Source organism: Homo sapiens, chromosome 9 (genome assembly GCF_000001405.40).
Source record: "Homo sapiens chromosome 9, GRCh38.p14 Primary Assembly".
NCBI lineage: Eukaryota > Metazoa > Chordata > Mammalia > Primates > Hominidae > Homo > Homo sapiens.
In genome coordinates, this window is record NC_000009.12 from 28,420,131 (window position 1) to 28,439,820 (window position 19,690).

The 19,690-nt window shown below is 35.3% G+C and overlaps 1 protein-coding gene across 14 annotated transcripts in view; it reads right to left on the reverse strand.

The window, feature by feature from the left end:
* The window catches only part of LINGO2 (leucine rich repeat and Ig domain containing 2), a 1,275,985-nt gene that overhangs the window by 482,514 nt on the left and 773,781 nt on the right, over nucleotides 1–19,690 (reverse strand). For 2 of the 14 annotated variants that reach the window (XM_047422814.1, XM_047422815.1), the window contains exon 5: nucleotides 16,219–16,262. The exons of the other annotated variants lie outside the window; for them this stretch is intronic. The gene's annotated coding sequence lies outside the window, so the exon portion shown is untranslated. The remainder of the gene's footprint in view (nucleotides 1–16,218; nucleotides 16,263–19,690) is intronic. 14 annotated transcript variants of the gene reach the window in all.

Consider the following 19,690-nt stretch of genomic DNA (forward strand, 5'->3'; position numbering starts at 1 on the left):
GGAAGTCTCATTGCCCAAAGAAAATTATAGCTCCAAAATATCCAAACATGGCAAAACGTAAAAATAAATCTGCATTTCCAAATACTCTAGAAGTAATATTTCTTACTGTAAAACTTATTTCTCCTTCAGGCATAAGCACTAAGTCTCTTCTTAATTACAAGGTCAATTTTAGAAAGCAGCAGGTGACATTTTCTTATTGATAATTAGCAATGCCATTTATAGTGAATAGAGGAACATTCCTTCATGGTTATATAGTTTTTAATTTAAACTTGCTGGCTCACTAAAAGACTTGCTTCATCTATGGTTATAAAACTTTTAATTTAAACTTGCTGGCTCACTATAAAGATTCGCTTCATCTATTGTACAAACACATTTTTTTCATATATCACTTCCCATCTACCATATGCATACCATTGTTTGTAAGAAAGACAATAAGGCAGATCAAGGGGATTAATTTACAGCTATTGCTGGGGAGGGGCCAGGGATTTCTGTATAGATACAGGTCACAGGGCTGAACTATAGTACCATTTGTTCTCTATAAAAGTAATATGACCCATATTCAAAGAGAATAGGCATAAATTCTGCTAAAGTTCAGAAAATTTTTACCATCACTCCTTTCTTTCTCTGTGTCAAACCCATAGGTTTGCACAAAGTAAGATAGCCCTGTATCATAACATTTATGGAGAACTGACTTGGAATACCTTTTTCTGTATTCATCATTCTTTTGTGGCCATGTCGAGAGGGACTAGATTTTCCCATCAGGCATGTAAATTTCTCATGACTTAAGAAACGAATGCTGAAAAAATACTAAAAATACTAACCAAATTTCAAAGATTCCTGAAATGTTTAAAGAAAATAATATAGTTGGTGATTGTATAAATCACTTAATAATAAGCCATTTAATATCTCCCAAGGTAAATACTAAATGGCTTTCCTTTTGCCCAAATTGTCATGATCATTATACAGTAGAACAAAGAAACAAAAAAAATTCAAAGTTGTAGAACACAAAATTAACACAGTTGCATTTGTATACACTAAAAGGAAATTAAGAAAACAATTTAATTTATAATAGCATCAAGAACAAGAATAAACCTAATTAAGATGAATGACTTGTAACTAAAAACTACAAAACATTGCTGAAAAAAATAAAAAAGGACATCAATAAATGAAAAAACATTCTATTTTAATTAATCAGAAGGCTTAATATTGTTAAAATGTCAACACTGCCCAAAGCAATCTCCAGATTTAATGCAATACCTATAAAAAACCCAAAAGCATTTTTTTTGCAGAAAAAAAAAAAGCCATCCTAAAATTCATTTGGAATTTCAAGGGACAACAAATAGCCAAAAACGTCTTGAAAAAAAAAACAAAGTTAGAGGTCTCACACTTTCTGATTTTAAAATGTAGTACCATCATTCCTTGGTAAACATGGGGGATTAGTTTCAGGACCAAGGGAGTACCAAAACTCACTCATACTCCAGTCCTGTGTTCAGCCCTGGAGAACCCACATATGTGAAAAGTCCACCTTCTAGATACAAGGATTTTACATTCCATGAACACCATCTGCATTTAATTGAAAAAAATTCATACATAAGCGTACCACAGCTGATCAAACCCATGTTGTTCAAGGGTCAACTATACCAAGCTACAATAATCATGACAGTGTGGTCCTTGCATAAATACAGGCATATAGACCAAAAAAATAGACAACTCAGAAATACCCCATCTCATATAAAACCAAATGATTTTCCACAAGAGCGACAAGACCATTCAATGGGAAAAGAACAATCTTTTCAACAAACTGGGAATACAGGATATCCACATGCAACAGAATGAAGATGGACCCTTACCTTACCTACACCATATATACATATTAATTCAAAATGGATCAAAGACCTAAACATAAGAGCTGAAACTATAAAACTCTTTGAAGAAAACGTAGGGGTAAATCTTCAGGACATGGGATTTGGCAATGATTTCTTGGTTGTGACACCAAAACCAAAGACAAGAAAAGAAATGAAATAAAAAATGACAAATGGAATTCTATCAAAATTGAAATTGTGCATCAAATGACACTATCAATAGAATAAAAAGGCAACCTACATAATGAGTGAAAATATTTTCAAATCATATATCTAAAAAGAGGTTAATATCCAGAATATATAAATAATTCCTACAACTCAACAGCAACAACAAAACAACCTGATTTTTTGAAAGAATGGGTAAAGGACTTCAATAAAGGACTTAAAAAGAAGATGTGCAAATGGCCAACAATCACATGAAAAGATGCTAAACATCACAGTCATTAGTGGAAAGACAAATCAAAATGACAATGAGCTACCAACTAATACCCGCTAGGATGGCTACTATTAAAAAAGAAAGCAGAAAATAGTAAGTGTTTCTGGGGATGTAGATGAATTGAAAGGTTTGTATACAGTTAGTAGGGGTGTAAAATGGTACAGCTGCAATGCAAAATATATTATGGGTCCACAAAAACTTAAAAACATAAATTCCACGTGATCTAGCAATTCTACTCTGAGTATATATGTGAAATAACTAAAAGCAAGATTTTGAAGAGACATTTGTATATCTATGTTTATAGCAGTATTATTTACAATAGCCAAAAGATGGATGTAGCCTATGTGGCCATTGGTAGATGAATACATTAATAAAATTTGGTACACATATACAATGGAGTATTTTTCAGGAAAAATAAAAAGGAAGGAAATTCTGACATGTGCTATAACGTGGATAAACTTTGAAGACATCATGCTGAATAAAATAAGCTAGTCACAAAAGGACAAATACCTTATAATTCCACTTATTATCAGGTACCTAGAATAGTCAAAATCATAGAGACAGAAAGAATGATGGTTGCCAGGGGCTGGGAGGAAGGAGGGATGGAAAGTTATTTGTTCATGGATACAGATTTCCAGTTTTGCAGGACGAAAAGAGTCCCAAAGGTTGATCGTGGTAATGGTTAAACAAAAATATGAATGTATTTAGTGCCACTAAACTATATACTTAAAAATGGTTAAGGTGGTAAATTTTATGTCATGTGTATTCCACCACAATTTTTTAAAAAGTTTCCTTTTTTGAGTAAAGCTTGAAATGGAATATACAGTTAAATATTAAGAGAATGTCCTAAGACTACATGTCAGAACAGATCCCATCTTTGCCAAATAATCCTGAGACACTCTAGGTCTAAGAAATAAGGGAAAAAAAATTAAACAGTAAACGATTTAGAACTAGAATATTCAAGTTAATCATCAATAACCTAAAACTTCAAAAAAGGAAATGAACCCATGAAACTGAATTATCAGTGAATGTCCTTTGTGGTTTCTCAGCCATGGTTAAAGAACTACATATGCATCTTTAAAAATTAAATCAATTAAGGATGCTACCTGTCACTAAATTAGCTTACACTCTGTTCAGAATAAAATTTCCAGGGTGATTAGTGGCATGATTTATAACTCCCCATGGTAATTCTTAGAAAGGAAAAATCTTATAGTAGCTCTACATATGTATAAAATATTCACATGTGAAGAAAACTGAATTTACTTCTACTCTATGTTTTATATAAATATGAGCTGTTTTAGAGGACTAATCTCATTTAACCAAAATGTAAGTGCTTAATAGTGGTGCTTCTCGGCTTGGGTGAATAAGGTGTATAATATCTAAATCTTTGTTCGTTTTCAAGATATAATTCAGAGAAATAGAATGATGGAGTGTTTTAAAATTATTATCTTTAAATGTGGTCTTCCAATAATTAATTTCAGAAACAGCTACATCGACTGCCCTATTTCCTAAATCAGGTTTAAATAGAAAAATCATGAAGTGCCTCACTCAGAGGGTGTCTCTTTTTCCCAGATCTCTATCAATAGTGTTAAGACTGGTATTATGGGCTCATGCCACCAATTCCCATCCATTGCCTACCCCTTGTCCACATTGTCTGTCATACTAATTTATAAGGAAATTAAGTCACTTGGTAGGATCACCTCTATATAAGCCATGACAGATTGTGAAAATGCCTAAAATATTTTTTATTCACCTTCATGAAGAGGAGGAATCTCTTTCCCAACCATTGAAACTAGGCTGGTTTTTCAGCTCACTTTGTGTAGAAGAACATGAAGGAAGTGAAGTTATACAACTTTTAGGCCTAGCCTGCAAGAGGCCTTTCAGCTTCTACTCTTGGTTTGCTGCCACCATATGAATAAGTCCAGGCTAGCCTGCTGGAGAATAGACAAAATGTGGGAGAACCGAGGTACCGTAGCCAATAGCTAGACAATTGCCAGACATGTGAGTGTGGTCGCTTGGAATCAGTCAGTCCCCAGACAACACAACAACTAACAGCACATATATGATCAGGCTCACTGAGATTAGCAGAACCCAGCCATGTTTAAAACAACTGACCAGCAGAATCATGAACTAAATGAATGGTAGTTGATTTGAAGTCACAACATTTATGGTAGCATTTTATGCAGCAATAGTTAATTAACATGTAAGCCGACGTCATTTAAGTACATCAATGTAATACCAAATTAATTACTACTTTTTGTCCTATAACTTGATCCAGTATTCCAGTTATTACAACAAGGCTTGATTTCTCTTTTATACTCTGTTTAGCCAGGTGCTATGTTTAGCTACACTTGTGTCAATGAGTTCCATATGTAAGAATCAAGATGACATAAGAGGCAGTGTTGTGCAGTAGTTAAATGGTCAGGCCCTGGAATTAAGCAGGCCTTGTTTGAGTCCTTTCAACCATACAGTGGTTCATTGGTCTTGGATAAGTATATTAATTTCTCAATTTTTTTCTTCTGTAAAATAAGGATAGTAATACCTGCCTTATAAAGCTATAGTGAGGACCAAATAATATAACATATTTAATGTCTCATGTACAGTAGGTCTTAAACGGGTTATTTTTAAATTTTCTACCACAGTGCAGGGCCCTAGTGTTTTTGATTAATACATAATTAATACATAATTTTCAACTTCTTTAACTCCCATGGTTTCTTTTAAGTGTCTTTACATTCTGCACTTTAACAATACAAGTAAAACTCTTAATAGAGCTTACTATGTGAAAGAAATAATTGCACATAAGTATATATTACATATTAAATATATGTATTATATATTATATATTATATATGTGTGTATATGTATATATACATGTGTATACACAGTATATATGTGTGTGTGTATATATATATATATAAACACATACATATACACATATATTGGCTCAATTATCCACACATAAGCTCTAAGAGGTAGAAACTATTATAATATTCATTTTAGAAAAGGAAGATGTCTAAGAGAGGATAAATCACCTGCTCTGATAGTACTAAAGAAGTAGTGGAGGCAGCCTGGCACTAAAGCTCATGCTCGTAATACTGTGCTATGCTGCTGGCCTTTTTCCTTTTATCATGGTCTGGAACATTCCTGTCTTGCGACTGTGTTGATAAGGGCAATATCCAACACCATAGCGTTTGTTAGGGGTTACGGGGAAGTAACTTATCTAGTAGAAATCAAATCCAATGAAATCTACATTTTAAAATTAAGAACAACAAAATCAAAGATCTTGTCTACTAAAGCATCTTCTCCAAAATGTAGTGTCTTCATACTCATTGCACCAGCTGCCTATGACCTGTGTTAATCAAATATGTTATCACACCGTATTGTCCAGAGAAGCCAAAATGGGAACTCTCTCAAAGAGAAATTTCTTTTGAGTTTGACTATATTTTTGTTGTTGTTGTTATTGTTAAATGTAGATAAATTACTTTCTTTTTGAAATGCCTATTCAGCTTGCTTCTTTTTGAGATCTACTTTAGGCGTATTTTCAAGATTAAATTCATCTATAACTATAATTTGCTTTGCTTCAGAGAAGATAGAGTCATTTGTTTTGAAGTGGAACACATTGAAGATACTTTGAACTGTATTACTGAAATCAGCTACTTAAAATGAAATTCTTCTTTCTGCCTTTATGAAGATAAAATGGCAGATTAACAGATGACACACACATGCACACACACTTGCTACAATACAACGACAATAATTTATCCTAGCAATAAACACTTTTGGGGAAAAATGATAAATAGCACATCCCCCTCCAAAATAAAATATCCCTCCCTATAGGTTTGCCTATAACATATTAATGATACATAATATATAATAAAACATTTAGTACATGTACTGAAGTAGACATAGGACGTGTAATTCCAGAACTAATCTCATATATCTGAAAAAGAAGTAACATTTTGCTCATGTTTTTAAAATAAAACTATAAATTCAGTAATTCGAGAGTTATATTTACAACCTATTAATTTGGAAGGTAAAAAGGATGAAATGAATTTTGCATGGACTAGCACTACTCTGCCACCATTGGTAGAAAAGCAATCAAAACATTGTTTGTTTTGTTATTTGTTAGCTTGAAGGGAGCACTACCAATAGAAGTTTTTAAATATGCAGGTATACTGTGCTGATGTTTTCATACCCTTTGCCATGTTTGTAAAAGATGGGGACAGAGAGGTTGCCCCTGAGGTGCACATGGCTTAAATGGAGGTTTAGTGTCCATCCAAGAGGATGGAGCTCAATAGATATAGTCTAAGGTTGTTTAAAGGGAAATTGCATCGAGCATTCTTTACCCTGTTTTTATGCCTGTAGCATTTCTGGTTGTTTTTAGAGTGAGAACACAGATTATCATCTACCTACCAAACTCCCCTTTAACAATCAAGATACACTTCAGATGTTACTTCTTTCTGTCTTTCCTCTGAAACTGAAAAGCATGAGGTCCTGATTTTTACTGGTATTCTTATTTATTAATATTTTACTATAATTTCCTTTCAAAGGTGTAGCTATCATATACCATAAACGAAGTCTGGCACTTAGCATATAGAGGCATTTTAGAAAACCTAATATCTGGTTTCATACCTCTCAGCTGCTTTGGATATCAAATAAATCATCTGTTTCTCTCCTATTTATTTTACTCTCATTTAAAAACCGCACATGAGCACTTCCCATGCAGTAAACATTAGGTTAGATGCTGCAAGGGATACAAATATGTTAAAACACAAGAAGACATAGTCTAGAGGAGTTGAAAAACACATTAAGAGCTCCCTTCTCTCCTGAGCACTGCTATAGATGGATAATGGGGCACTAGAGGGGTTTCTTGCAAGTGGTCCAGCCCACCTGCTCTCACACATGTTCCTGCTTAAGAGATATGAAGGCCCGGTGTGTATGAATACGATCACTTCACTACTCAAACAACTAGCTATTATTACTTACTGAGCATTCATTGTGTACTTAGCACTTGATGTATATTCTCTCCATTAATCCTCACCATAATCCCATGAGGGATAATCTTCATTTTACATATGAGAAAACTGAGGTTGTTTATAAAGGTTAAATCATTTGCTTAAATTCTACAATTAATATGATACAGATGGATTTTTCACAGATTTGTCTCATTCTAAAATCTAGGCTTCTAATTTCTATCTAAACTTGTCTCTTCATCAATAATTTTATGCTCCTATTCCACAGACTTTTAAATGAATGTCACATTAGTCTAAATCAGCCCTCTGTGGCATAAGGACAATGTGTTCGTTCCAAAGGTATTCCTTTGTGTTATGCATCAGGTGAAAAAGCTGTGCCAGGAAACATCACTCCTTTGTTAGATGAGGCCATCTCCTCTTAACCACTTTAAGATGTAGGGGAAAGCTCCTAATATAGAGCTCGGCATAACTGATAATATTATATGAGGACATTCAATAGGTCAACCTCCCCTACTTTCTTCAATTGAGACCCTTGAAATCATCAAATTACATTCTAGATCTTATTCTTTATTTCTGTAAACAGTATCACATCTGTTTCCTTTGCAGAGTCTCTGTGTGTAATACAGTCAGTTGCACCCAGGACAGTAGCAGCATGAAACATCTTCGATCATTTCCCCAGGATTTTTTAACATTGCAAAATATTCCTTAATCATAAAAAGGTAATGGGTTGAAGCCAGTTATAGCCATGTATCACTCCTTAATTTAAAATGATGCCTCACCTAATAATGCAATTTCACAGAACAGTAAACAAAACAGCCATCTGTTTGGCTTTTATATTTCATCTGAGGATCAGGAACAAGGGTTTCTGATATTTGAGAGGATTCTTTGGGCAATCTTTGAGGAAAGTGGTTAAGAAAATCACAATGTGAATAATAAGCAAAGGAGGAAAGGGGATCTTGCCTGCCTTCATCCTCTGGCTGACGAAGCAGAATCACTGCTTCTCCACAGAGGAAGGAAAGTATGAGATTGTATTAGACTGTGTTTCCATTTTCCAAAAGTAGGTTATTTTCATGTCTAATCAATTCTTTGGTTCATCAGGATGGTTAATTGCTGAGAAAGTCATCTGATCAAAACAACCAGACCTTAACAACTGCTTGGCAATGCAGCGGGGTTTTCAGTCATTGACCTCAATTGACTCAAAAATGGGTGATTTACTTAGCTTTAATCAGAGCAGTTGCTGCTATTATAAAGCTTGACTCTGCTTTTCATCAGTATCATGGTGGGTTCAGACGTAGTTGCTGCTGGTTATATGGTAGGTGCAGAAGATTTGGAATCAGACACACCTGGATTTGAAACTGCCTCTGTCAGTTATGAATGACTTTTGACAACTTACTTGAATTTTTCAAGGATGGGTTTTCTCACCTGCATAATAATGAAATTAATATCTACTGCATTTAGGGAGAATGTAAAGTAGTATTAAGTGGTAAACTTTTAGTGCATCCTAGTTCCCTTTGGTTATCCTTACACTCAAAAGGCCTAGCCATATAAACAGGTAGCTCTAAGTGAACATGATTCTTTATCTTGACTTAAGAATCTAACTTGTTAAATAATTTTGGTTGAAAATAAAGCATACTGTTTACTTACATACTTTTTTGACAATTGTATCATAGCAGTGAAAAATAGAAACAGCACTATTCTAATAAATCATCTTAACAGCTCAGTAAATGTTTAATGTTTGCTTAGCACATTTATCTGTTTAAAGAAAAATGAAATAGATACAAAGAGTATTCTGCTATTATCCTGCCCCAGCAAACTTGCAGAACACATTGCAAAGACACTGTGCATTAATAAGAATATATTGTATGCTCTGGACTTTTTTCTTCCTAAAAACCTCACAAGAGTTTTAAAATTTTAGATTAAAAAAATAGTGATAGGGTAATAACAAAGCCCTTTTTTCTTCCCTATATGGTATAATGACAATGTGTTAGTCCCAAAGATATTCCCTTATGTTATGAATGAAGTTTAAAAGTTGTACCAAGAAACATCAATCTCTCTTTGGTAGTTGAGGTCCATTTCCTCTTAGCCACTCTTTAACATCTAGGAGAGAACTACCAATATGGAGCTGTGCATAACTGATGATATTATATGAGGATGTTCAATAGGTCAACCACCCCCACCTTTTTCAGTTGAGACACCTGAAATGCTAGAAATGTCTAATGACTCAAGGAATCCTTTAGTTTTAGAGTAGAAGATGGCAGTAAAAATAGTCTTCAAGCTCTCATACACTAAACTAATTACCATACTCATCACCACTAAAGTACTTCCATTTTCTCATTTCTCTATCTTCTCTTTTATGGCTTCTTAACCTCACTAAAGATGTAGCCCCTGGTGTTCCAACAGACTTTGAATCCATGCATATAAAAATTGAGAAGCAGGAAAAAAGAGGGAGGGATGTAAGAAACTGAAGATAGCCTAGGTAGGATGTTATGAGATTTGCAGTTCAGTTTCACAAATATGTAATATTGGGTCACTGCTTTTGCAAACCCCTGTAGCACCTATGAAGATGAATTAGTTATGTCTTCAGATTTCCTATATTGAATTAGATATGTGTGTGTCTAATTCTCAGAAACTACCAGGAAGAATCATAAGTAATCCCTAAGATGGGGAGTCAGGGAGAGGGAGAGGCTGATTTCCACGCGCGCGCGCGCGTGTGTGTGTGTGTGTGTGTGATTCTGGATATTTTGACGAGATTCTTAGTTTCATTTCAATGATTGTTGATTGATGACAGCTGACTGGAGCATAGTGTAGAAGAAGATTCTTTCCTCATAGGTTTGGCAGAAGAGGGTCCTGGTCAAAGTGCCAGCCATGTGACTTAGGTGGGTGAAAGGTACCAACTTTGTTTTCAAAATTTCAATCCCAGTCCCTACAGCATAAAATTCAATCTTCCTAGTATGGCATATAAGATTTGTATAGCATCCTATGCTCTGTCATAGCACACAAGCATGACAAAGTACTTATAATTGACAAAATACACCATACTGTTTCACTTCTATGAGCCTTTGTTCACGTAACTCTTTTCCTAGAATAATTTCTCTTTCATTCCAATATCATCCTCCTAGAGAAAATCTCCTTAACTTTTAAATTCAAAATCAAAAGACTTTTGTCTTCATTTTATTTCAAATAGATATGACTTCTTTTGTTTTACCTATATTTTTCCTATATGCCATCAGTATACTGTCTTTAATGAATGGGTTGCTTACACTCAATGTCATATTACATATTAGTTATGCCTTGCTGGGTGACAAACTGACCTAAAACTGGGTAGCTTAAAACAACAAATGCTTACTTTTTTACAGTTTCTATATGCCAGGAGCTCAGGGCTGGCTCAGCTGATGGTTCTGGCTCAAGGTCTCTCATTACATTGTGGTCAAGGTGTTGACTGGGGTTGCAGTGATTCTGGCACCTAATGGGGACTAAAGAATCTGCTTCCCAAGCTCACCTGTGGTTGCTGTCAAGCCTCAGTTCCTTGTAGGTGATTAAACTGAGGGCCTCGTTTCCTTGTATACCAATGGACCTCTCCATTGAGCTTCTGAGAACATGATAACTTGCTTACTACAGCATGAGTGATGAGAGAGAGAGAGAGAGAGAGAGAGAGAGAGAGAGAGAGAGAAACTCAAGGCAGAAACAACAGTCTTTCTTAATAACCTAATCTCAAAAGCCACATCCCATCACATATGTCACCTTCTATTCATTGAAAGCAGTAAGTCTGGCCACATTCAAGAAGTGATTATAGAGAACATAAATACTAGGAGTCAGGAATCATTGTCGGGGGTGGAGAAGGTAATCTAAGAGACTGTCTACCACATCCAGTATCTTCCTAACTAGACTTAAAGCTATTTGAGAGCTGAAACCAAACCAAACTCAATTTCTCTGTTTTCCTGTCATCTGCCTAGTGTCTGGCACAGTAAATATTAAAGAAAGGAAGAAGAGAAGAAGGGAGAAAGAGAGAGCGCAATCAAAGATAAATCACATATTAAATCCCTTAAATAATTGGAAATGATTGATCTATAGAACAATTGTTTGGAAGAAAGAAACAGAATTTTAATATTTTAGTCAAGATTGAAATTATGTAGAATTTCTAGCACCATGGCCCTTGATTATGGCATTGACAGAAACAGAATTTGTGATTCAATAACTCATGTATAAGTCTGGAAAGAATCACTAAAGTTAGAAACCAAAAGATCAGTTACGGTCATTCTCCCAGTTCATGGCAGTTCCTTGCAGTATATTCTGTGACTCTTTCAGAAAGCCCTGTGGCTGAAACACTGACATCTATGGATGCAGTTTTATATAATAAACAGAAGTTCAATTATCTTAAATGGGCTATTTTAAATGTTTTATCCAAAGTGAATTCCAATTTAGGCTGATTTCTCCTCAAAAGCACAGTGAAAAAGTATTCATTCTCTGTCTCCAACAATACTTAATAGGACATTTTTTTTCCCTTTCAAATCTAGTGCTCTGTTTTTACTTACTCCCTCTCTCTTTCCCTAAATACGTAGGTGATGGGAAATCAATATGATTGATATATAGTCATTGCCCTAATAATTCATTGTATGTACATCCAGATGAGCATTTAATCAAAAAACCATAATGTAATATGAATAAATGTGCCTTACCATACTCTATAAAAGCACTGTAGGGTCATACGAAAAGAGTGATTAGCTCTGCCTGGAAAGGTCAGAAGACCACACAGATGAGATATTATTTAGGCCTTTACTGTTAAGGAAGAAGTTATATACTAGTTTGTCATCTTTTTAAAAATAAACAATGACTATTGGGGGAGATAGTTTAGTTATGGGTCAAACTTGTGGAAAACGGACACTGAATTTAATTAAAAGCTCATTTTGACACTAAAAGACACTATGTGAGCTGAAGTTGTACCTGAATTTCAACAAATAATTTTTCCCAATCAATATAAATTTAATATTTAAAATAATAAGATATTTACTAATATACATAAAATAGAAATATTTCAACTGCAATTTCAAGAAAAAGAAAGGAACTGATGATGGAAAAAATCAAAAGGCAAAACTTTCCCTGTTATTGCTCAGAGTGGCAACTATAAGAGTTTCCACTTCCTATTAACTGTGATTGATTTTGTGGCAATTTACATGTATTAAAAATAAATCTATTCACATGGGTTAATTTGATTGCAGCTTCAGGGCTAATAAAGGACAGTCTGAATGCTTTCAGATCTGAATTCTGTCTCTATTTTCTTTGCATTTATGGTCACATTAATCATGAATGCAGAATAGAAAAATGTTATAAGATACATTTTGTATTAACTGCACTTTTAAAATACAGGATTCTGATGTTTGTATTTAATTTCTATTAATTTCCCATAATAAAACATTGCAGATAAAAGAGACGTTGACTTCAGCTTGACTACATTTTCAATTTATTATCAGCCATATATACTGAAGATTAATCACAATTCCACTAGTAGAAAATGAACGTTGTTAAGAAATCTTGTTTTAATTTCTGGAGAGAGTAGAAATGAGGAGGAAATGACAGTAGTAAGACAACAAGAATATGCATTAAAAAAATCCCAATCTTGGATTTTCTTGAAAAAACATAGATTCAGAAAGACTAAGCATAGTAATTAATTGTTACTTTTTAGCATTCAAAATGGCTATCATCTCTCTTAAAAAGCAGTGGATTATAAAGACATGGAAGAGGTAACAGTAGATGGTTTCATGGGAAGGCATCATTGCATACAATTCCAAGTTGGAAAAGTGTATGTTAAGATGTGATCTTGCAAATAGGCTTCCTAAATTATAAAACCCACGCCTGTTATCCCTTTCCTACTCTCCCAGCTGTGACCCTTCACCCCTATATAAAGGGAAGATCTCAGCCACTGGGTGTACTCCAAAACTCTTCCACTTCTTATTTATTACACAAATATAATTTGCAAAGATGCAACATATCAGGCATCATGCTGAGCCAGAAAAGCAGATAAGTAAGAAACGTCCCCTCTACTTAGGGACATGCAAACCAGAAAGAGATGAACCTCAAAGCCTAGGATAGTGCTGATGGAAAGGAAAAAAACAGATTTAAGACATATTTCTGAAAGCAAATAAAGAAATCTTCATTAAAATCTGGATATGGTCACAATGAGATATCACTGCACTCCAGCGAGAATGGTCAAAAAAAGGCAAAAAGCATTAGATGTTGACATGGATGTGGTGAAAAGGGAACACTTTTACACTGCTTGTGGGAATGTACATTAGTACAACCACTATGGAAAACAGTTTGGAGATTCCTTAAAGAGCTGAAAGTGGAACTACCATTCCATCCAGCAATCCCACTACTGGGTAGCTACCCAAAGGAAAACAAATCATTATATGAAAAAGACACATGCACATGCATGTTTACAGCAGCACAATTTGCAACTGCAAAGATATAGAACCAACCCAAGTGCCCATCAACCAATGAGTGGATAAAGAAAATGTGCTCTCTCTTTCTCTCTCTCTCTCTCTCTCTCTCTCTATATATATATATATATACACACACACACATGAAAATACTACTATACTACTATGGAATACTACTCATCCAAAAAAAGGAACAAAATAATGTCTTTTGTAGCAACTTGGATGGAGCTGGAGGCCATTATTCTAAGTGAAGTAATTCAGGATTGGAAAACCAAATATCGTATGTTCTCACTTACAAGTGGGAGCTAAGCTATGAGGACTGCAAAGGCATAAGAATGATATAATGGACTTTTGGGGACTATGGGTTGTGGGAAGAGAGGGTTGTGAGGGATAAAAGACTACAAATTGTGTAGTCAGAAAGAATGACTACACACCACTGAAGAACTTATCCACGTAACCCAAAATGACCTGTACCCTAAAAATTACTAAAATAAAAAAAATTAAGAAAAAAAGGAAAAAAAAAAAAGAGAGAAGAGTCTCCAAAATACTGAGAACATTATTCAGATAGAGGACAGAGACCCTCCTGGTTAGTCAATCATCTGAACCCTGATTGTGTCTGGCCCATGCTACAACCTGCTTTCTCTATAACTATCTATCTTGTAAGAGCACTGCCAGAATAAAGTTCTTGAGCATCAAAAAAAAAAAAAAAAAATACTGGAGATGGGACTTGAGAAATGACATTTTTATCCTTCCTGTAATTGGCTTCTATCAAACCAGAAGTCTTCTGTCTCAGTATTCGCCATACATTCGTTATTCTCTTATGCTCTCAAGGCCAAATTTTTTATCACATTTACTTTAAATGAGAAGGCCAATACAATCAGATATGAATATTTCTCTTTTGTTTCTTTCCTAATCCATAATTTGGACTCACTTTTATTTTATTCTCTAGTCTGAGTCACAGCTTGGATATCTATTCTTATCTATTGTTTTTAAAAGGTTTATTGACTATTTTCATGGAACACTTGTACAAAAGAAGAAGGAGGAAAAATGAAACACTGATATAACCCATGAAGACTATATTTTACCATTCTATTGTTAGCTTAGAGTATTCCAGGCTCTCTCAATCGACTATAACCTCTACATTTTTCTTCCTTAAACTTTCATTTTACTTAAAAAAAATTCCCTGTGAAAAGACCCACTTTTTTTCTCTTTAGCAGAGTTAACTTTTGGGAAACAAACTTTGTCACTGGTAATTTTTTATAATAAAGAACATAAACTGAGCACTCAGTATACAAATATTAAAACAAACTCACTACAGGAAATAATTAAATAATATAGACCAGATTCAAACAACTACAGACACTAAAGGCTATACATTAAACAAAAACCTGTTCAATTTTACTGTAAAGTAATTCAAGTCTTGTTTATTATGTCATTTTAACCATATTTCATAATTTAACACTCTAGTACCTTTATAATGTTGTTATCTAAGAATCATGTCAAATTTTATTTAGCGGTATCACTATATGTAAGAAGAAGGGTTATTGTGCTTTGTGGCCAAGAAAACTTCTAAATTAGCAAAAATTGTGATGCCTCATATTTCTAGGACAAAAACATGCCATGTAATAGAAAAATAGGAGTTGCTCACAAACGTTCTAATGATCTCTGGACTGTGAGGTTTGATGCCCAATTGTCATTCTATCTGACATCAAGATTACTGTGAAGGACTGTGAATTTAACATAGAATGACAATGTAATAGGAGAAAAAACAATGTAGATTGGTTACTGGAATGCAGGCTTACACATTTGTCCCATGATCTTCAGTCCTGATGGCTAGGATTAGAATGACAATATCCCTTCCTGGTTTTGTGTATCAAGTAGCTCTCTCCTTGGAGAATGAGTATCAGACTAAGAAGGAAAGTGATATGACAAAGGACCATGTGAGACTGCAGTTATTATGAGCAATTGGGGTCAATGGAGAGTAATAAAAATCAATACAAAAGATAATAGAATGAACAAAACTTGGAAAATTGTTGGATAAATCAATAGAAAGAGTGCACTGGGGACGTGAGATTTTAGAACAGTAAATACTCACTGATTGATTGACAGGTTGGTTTAACATTCTTGCCACTTATTTCATTTTCAGTGTTTCTATTTGTGTCGGCCAGCAGTGATCCGCAATAGAAAGCAGTTACCAAGATTACTAACTTGGGGGTTTTATTAATAGTCTTTCTTTCTGTTCTTAACATAATAAATAGCCCACTCCACAGTTTCTCAGAAGCTTTTGACCAAATTATCCATAGCAACAACCTGTAATTGCAAGGACTTCAAGTATTTGTTATGTTTTGTTTTTCACTTGGTAAAGTCAAGACTTAAATTTACTCTTTATATAATAAAAATAATTTTGAGATCCTAAGAACATAAAATCTTAATGGAAGATTAGTTTCTGCCAAGACCTTTGCAACCTAATAGTTTTAACTATTGGCACTGAACATAGACATATGTCTTAATACCTGGAGACGGTGATTGTCAGGATTCTGGCAGGAAATGGGACAGTCTGTTTGAGAGAGAAGAATAAGGAAGAGAATTTATTTATTTATTTATTTATTTATTTATTTATTTATTTATTTATTTATTTTTGAGATGGAGTCTCGCTCTGTCGCCAAGGCTGGAATGCAGTGGCGCAGTCTCGGCTCACTGTAAGCTCCGCCTCCCGGGTTCACGCCATTCTCCTGCCTCAGCCTCCAGATTAGCTGGTACTACAGGTGCCCGCCACCACGACCGGCTAATTTTTTGTATTTTTAGTAGAGACGGGGTTTCACCGTGTTAGCCAGGATGGTCTCGATCTCCTGACCTCGTGATCCGCCCGCCTTGGCCTCCCAAAGTGCTGGGATTACAGGCATAAGCCACCGCGCCCGGCCAGGAAGAGTATTTATAAAAGCGTGTCGGGGTATAGAGAAATGAAGAAGAGATAAGGCAGTACTGCATGGTAGCAAGAGGAGGAAGTCCTTACCACCGCAAGGCCTGATAGGGCAAGGGTAAGGAACGGTTCCTGGAGCCTTGAAAGCATAGCTCTGTGGAGAGGGTCATATGATACGAGCTGCAGCTTTTAATAAAGGAAAGGGGCCACCCTTTGAAGACCTGGCAGAGTGAACTGGGGTTCAAATACCTCAATGTGATGGTTACTTATAGGTATCAACTTGACTGCATTAAGGAATACCAAGATAACTGGTAAAGCATTATATCCAGATGTGCCTATTGGGTGTTATCAAAGGAGGTTGGCTTATGAGTCAGTGGACTGAGTGGAAAAGGTCCACTCTCAATGTAGTGGTCACGATCCTGGGCTGGGGCCCAGATAAGACAAAAAGGCAGAGGAAAGGCAAACACTTTTCTTTCTTTGTCCTAGAGCTGGGACACTCTTCTTCTGCCTTTGTACTTCGTAACTCTAGACTCTTCAGACTTTGGACCCTAGAACTTACACGAGCAGCCTCCCCACTCACCACATTCTTGGGTCTTCAGCATCTGACTGAGAATTATGTCATGGGCTTCCCTGGTCCTGAGGCTGTCACAATTGGCCGCAGACATGTTACTGGCATCCCAGGGTCTCCAGCTTGCAGACAGCCTGTTGTGGAACTTCTCAGCCTCCAAAATCACATGAGCCAATTTCCCTAATAAATCCCTTCCTATACACACAGACACATATACACACAGACGCACACACACACACACACACACACACACAGACGCGCACACACACCCACACACACACATACAGATCACTTCTATCTCTCTGGAAAACCCTGACCAATGTATCTCCTCTCCCCCTTTCTCATCTCTTGATGCCATCTCCAATTGTTAAACTCAGGAAGCCAAAGGATAAGGGAGCTACATACATCAGACTTCTTGAGCCTATAGAAAGATAGAGAACAATGAAGAGGGGTTCTGAAGGACAAACAACATATATTTGGCTCAGAAGGCCCTTTCATAATTTTTCAATGTAGCACAAAAAAAATTCTGCCAGGCATAATTTTTCATATCATTTTTAACAGTTTAATTTTTAGTGTTAACACCATAGATCCAACTACCTCCTCCTCTTCCAAATGTATTTCTTACAAAGAAAAAGACTTTTTTTCATACAATAATTATCAAACAAGTGACTTAAGAATATGGGGGAAGTTGTAAGTTTGAAACATTGGCTTTGGCTCCAGTAATCTAGTTTTCTCCTTTCCTTGTCACACCAAAGGCCTAGGGCTTTCATGATGGTTCCCTTTCTGATTATATTGATTTCTATGGCTATTGAAAAAAATTATCGTCCAGCTAGTCTTTTTCTCTCCCAAACCAGGTGGGATGGTGAATTTTATGGGTCAATTTGAGTGAGCTAAAGGTTGCCCAGATAGCTAGTAAAACATTATTTCCATGTGTGTCTGAGAGGGTTTTTCTGGAAGAGATTTGCATTTAAATCAGCAGATCTAGTAAAAAGATCCGCTATCTAATTTGTTAAGGATCCAAATAGAATAGAAAGGTAGAGGAAGGACAAATTTTCCTTCCGTCTTCTTGAGCTGCGACATCCATCTTCTTCAGTCCTCAAACATCAGAGCTCCTGATTCTTGGGTCTTCAGGTTGTGGGACTTAGATAAGTGGTCCCACTGGTTCTCCTGTCTTCAGCCTCAGACTGAATTATACCACCAGCTTTCTTGGTTCGTCAGTTTGCAGAATGTATATTGTGGGACTTTTAGGCTTCCATGATCACATCAGCCAATTTCTAGCGTAAATTTCCTTTTGCATATCTACATATGTCCTATTTGTTCTATTTCTCTGGAGAACCCTGACTAATGCATCAGCTATTGGCAAGTAGTAATGAGGAATTAAGCTTACAAATCTTTACTACTGCCACTGAAGGTCATCAAGGGCTAATGCCTTTGTCTTAAATTTCAGAAAGCCAGCTGTGGAAGATAGTTCTGATGTTTAAGAAAGGAAGAAGAAAATATATACATATATATATATATATATATATAATGAGATATATATATTTATACATTATATATAGTGAAATATATATATTTATACATTATATATAATGAAATATATATCTATACATTATATATAATGAAATATAGATAATATGTGTACATTATATATAATGAAATATAGATAATATCTATACATTATATATAATGAAATACAGATATCTATACATTATATATGAAATACAGATATCTATACATTATATATAATGAAATATAGATAATAGCTATACATTATATATAATGAAATATAGATAATATCTATTTATACATTATATGTAATGAAATACAGATAATATATATTTACACATTATAGATAATGAAATATAGATATCTATACATTACATATTATGAAATAGAGATAATATATATTCATACTATATATGTGTGTGTGTATATGTATATGTATATATATGTGTGTGTGTGTGTGTTTCATATATATATATAATGAAAATGCCCAGTAAGCAAGGATCCTCTGGCAGTCGTTAGTGCTGTTCATCAAATGTTTATGGTTCTCTTGGGCATATTGTGTGACTCTGTTCCCCTGCACACTGGGGTTTGGTATGGCCATGTGATATGGTTTGGTTCTGTGTCCCCACCCAAAATTCATGTCGGTTTGTAATTCCCAGTGTTGGAGGAGGGGGCTTGGTCAGAGGTGACTGACTCATAGGGGCAGACTTCCTCCTTGCTGTTCTTGTGGTAGAGTTCTCATGAGATCTAGTTGTTTTAAAGCATATAGCACCTTCCCCTTCACTCTCTCATCCTCCTGCTCCAGTCATATAGGACGTGCTGGCTTCCCCTTTGTCTATTGCCATGATTGTAAGTTTCCTGAGGGCTCCCCAGGCATGGTTCCTGCACAGCCTGCAGAACGATGAGCCAATCAAACCTTTTTTCTTCATAAATTAGCCAGTCTCAGGTAGCAGTTTGAAAATGGATTAATACACCGTGAAACTAGCTTTGT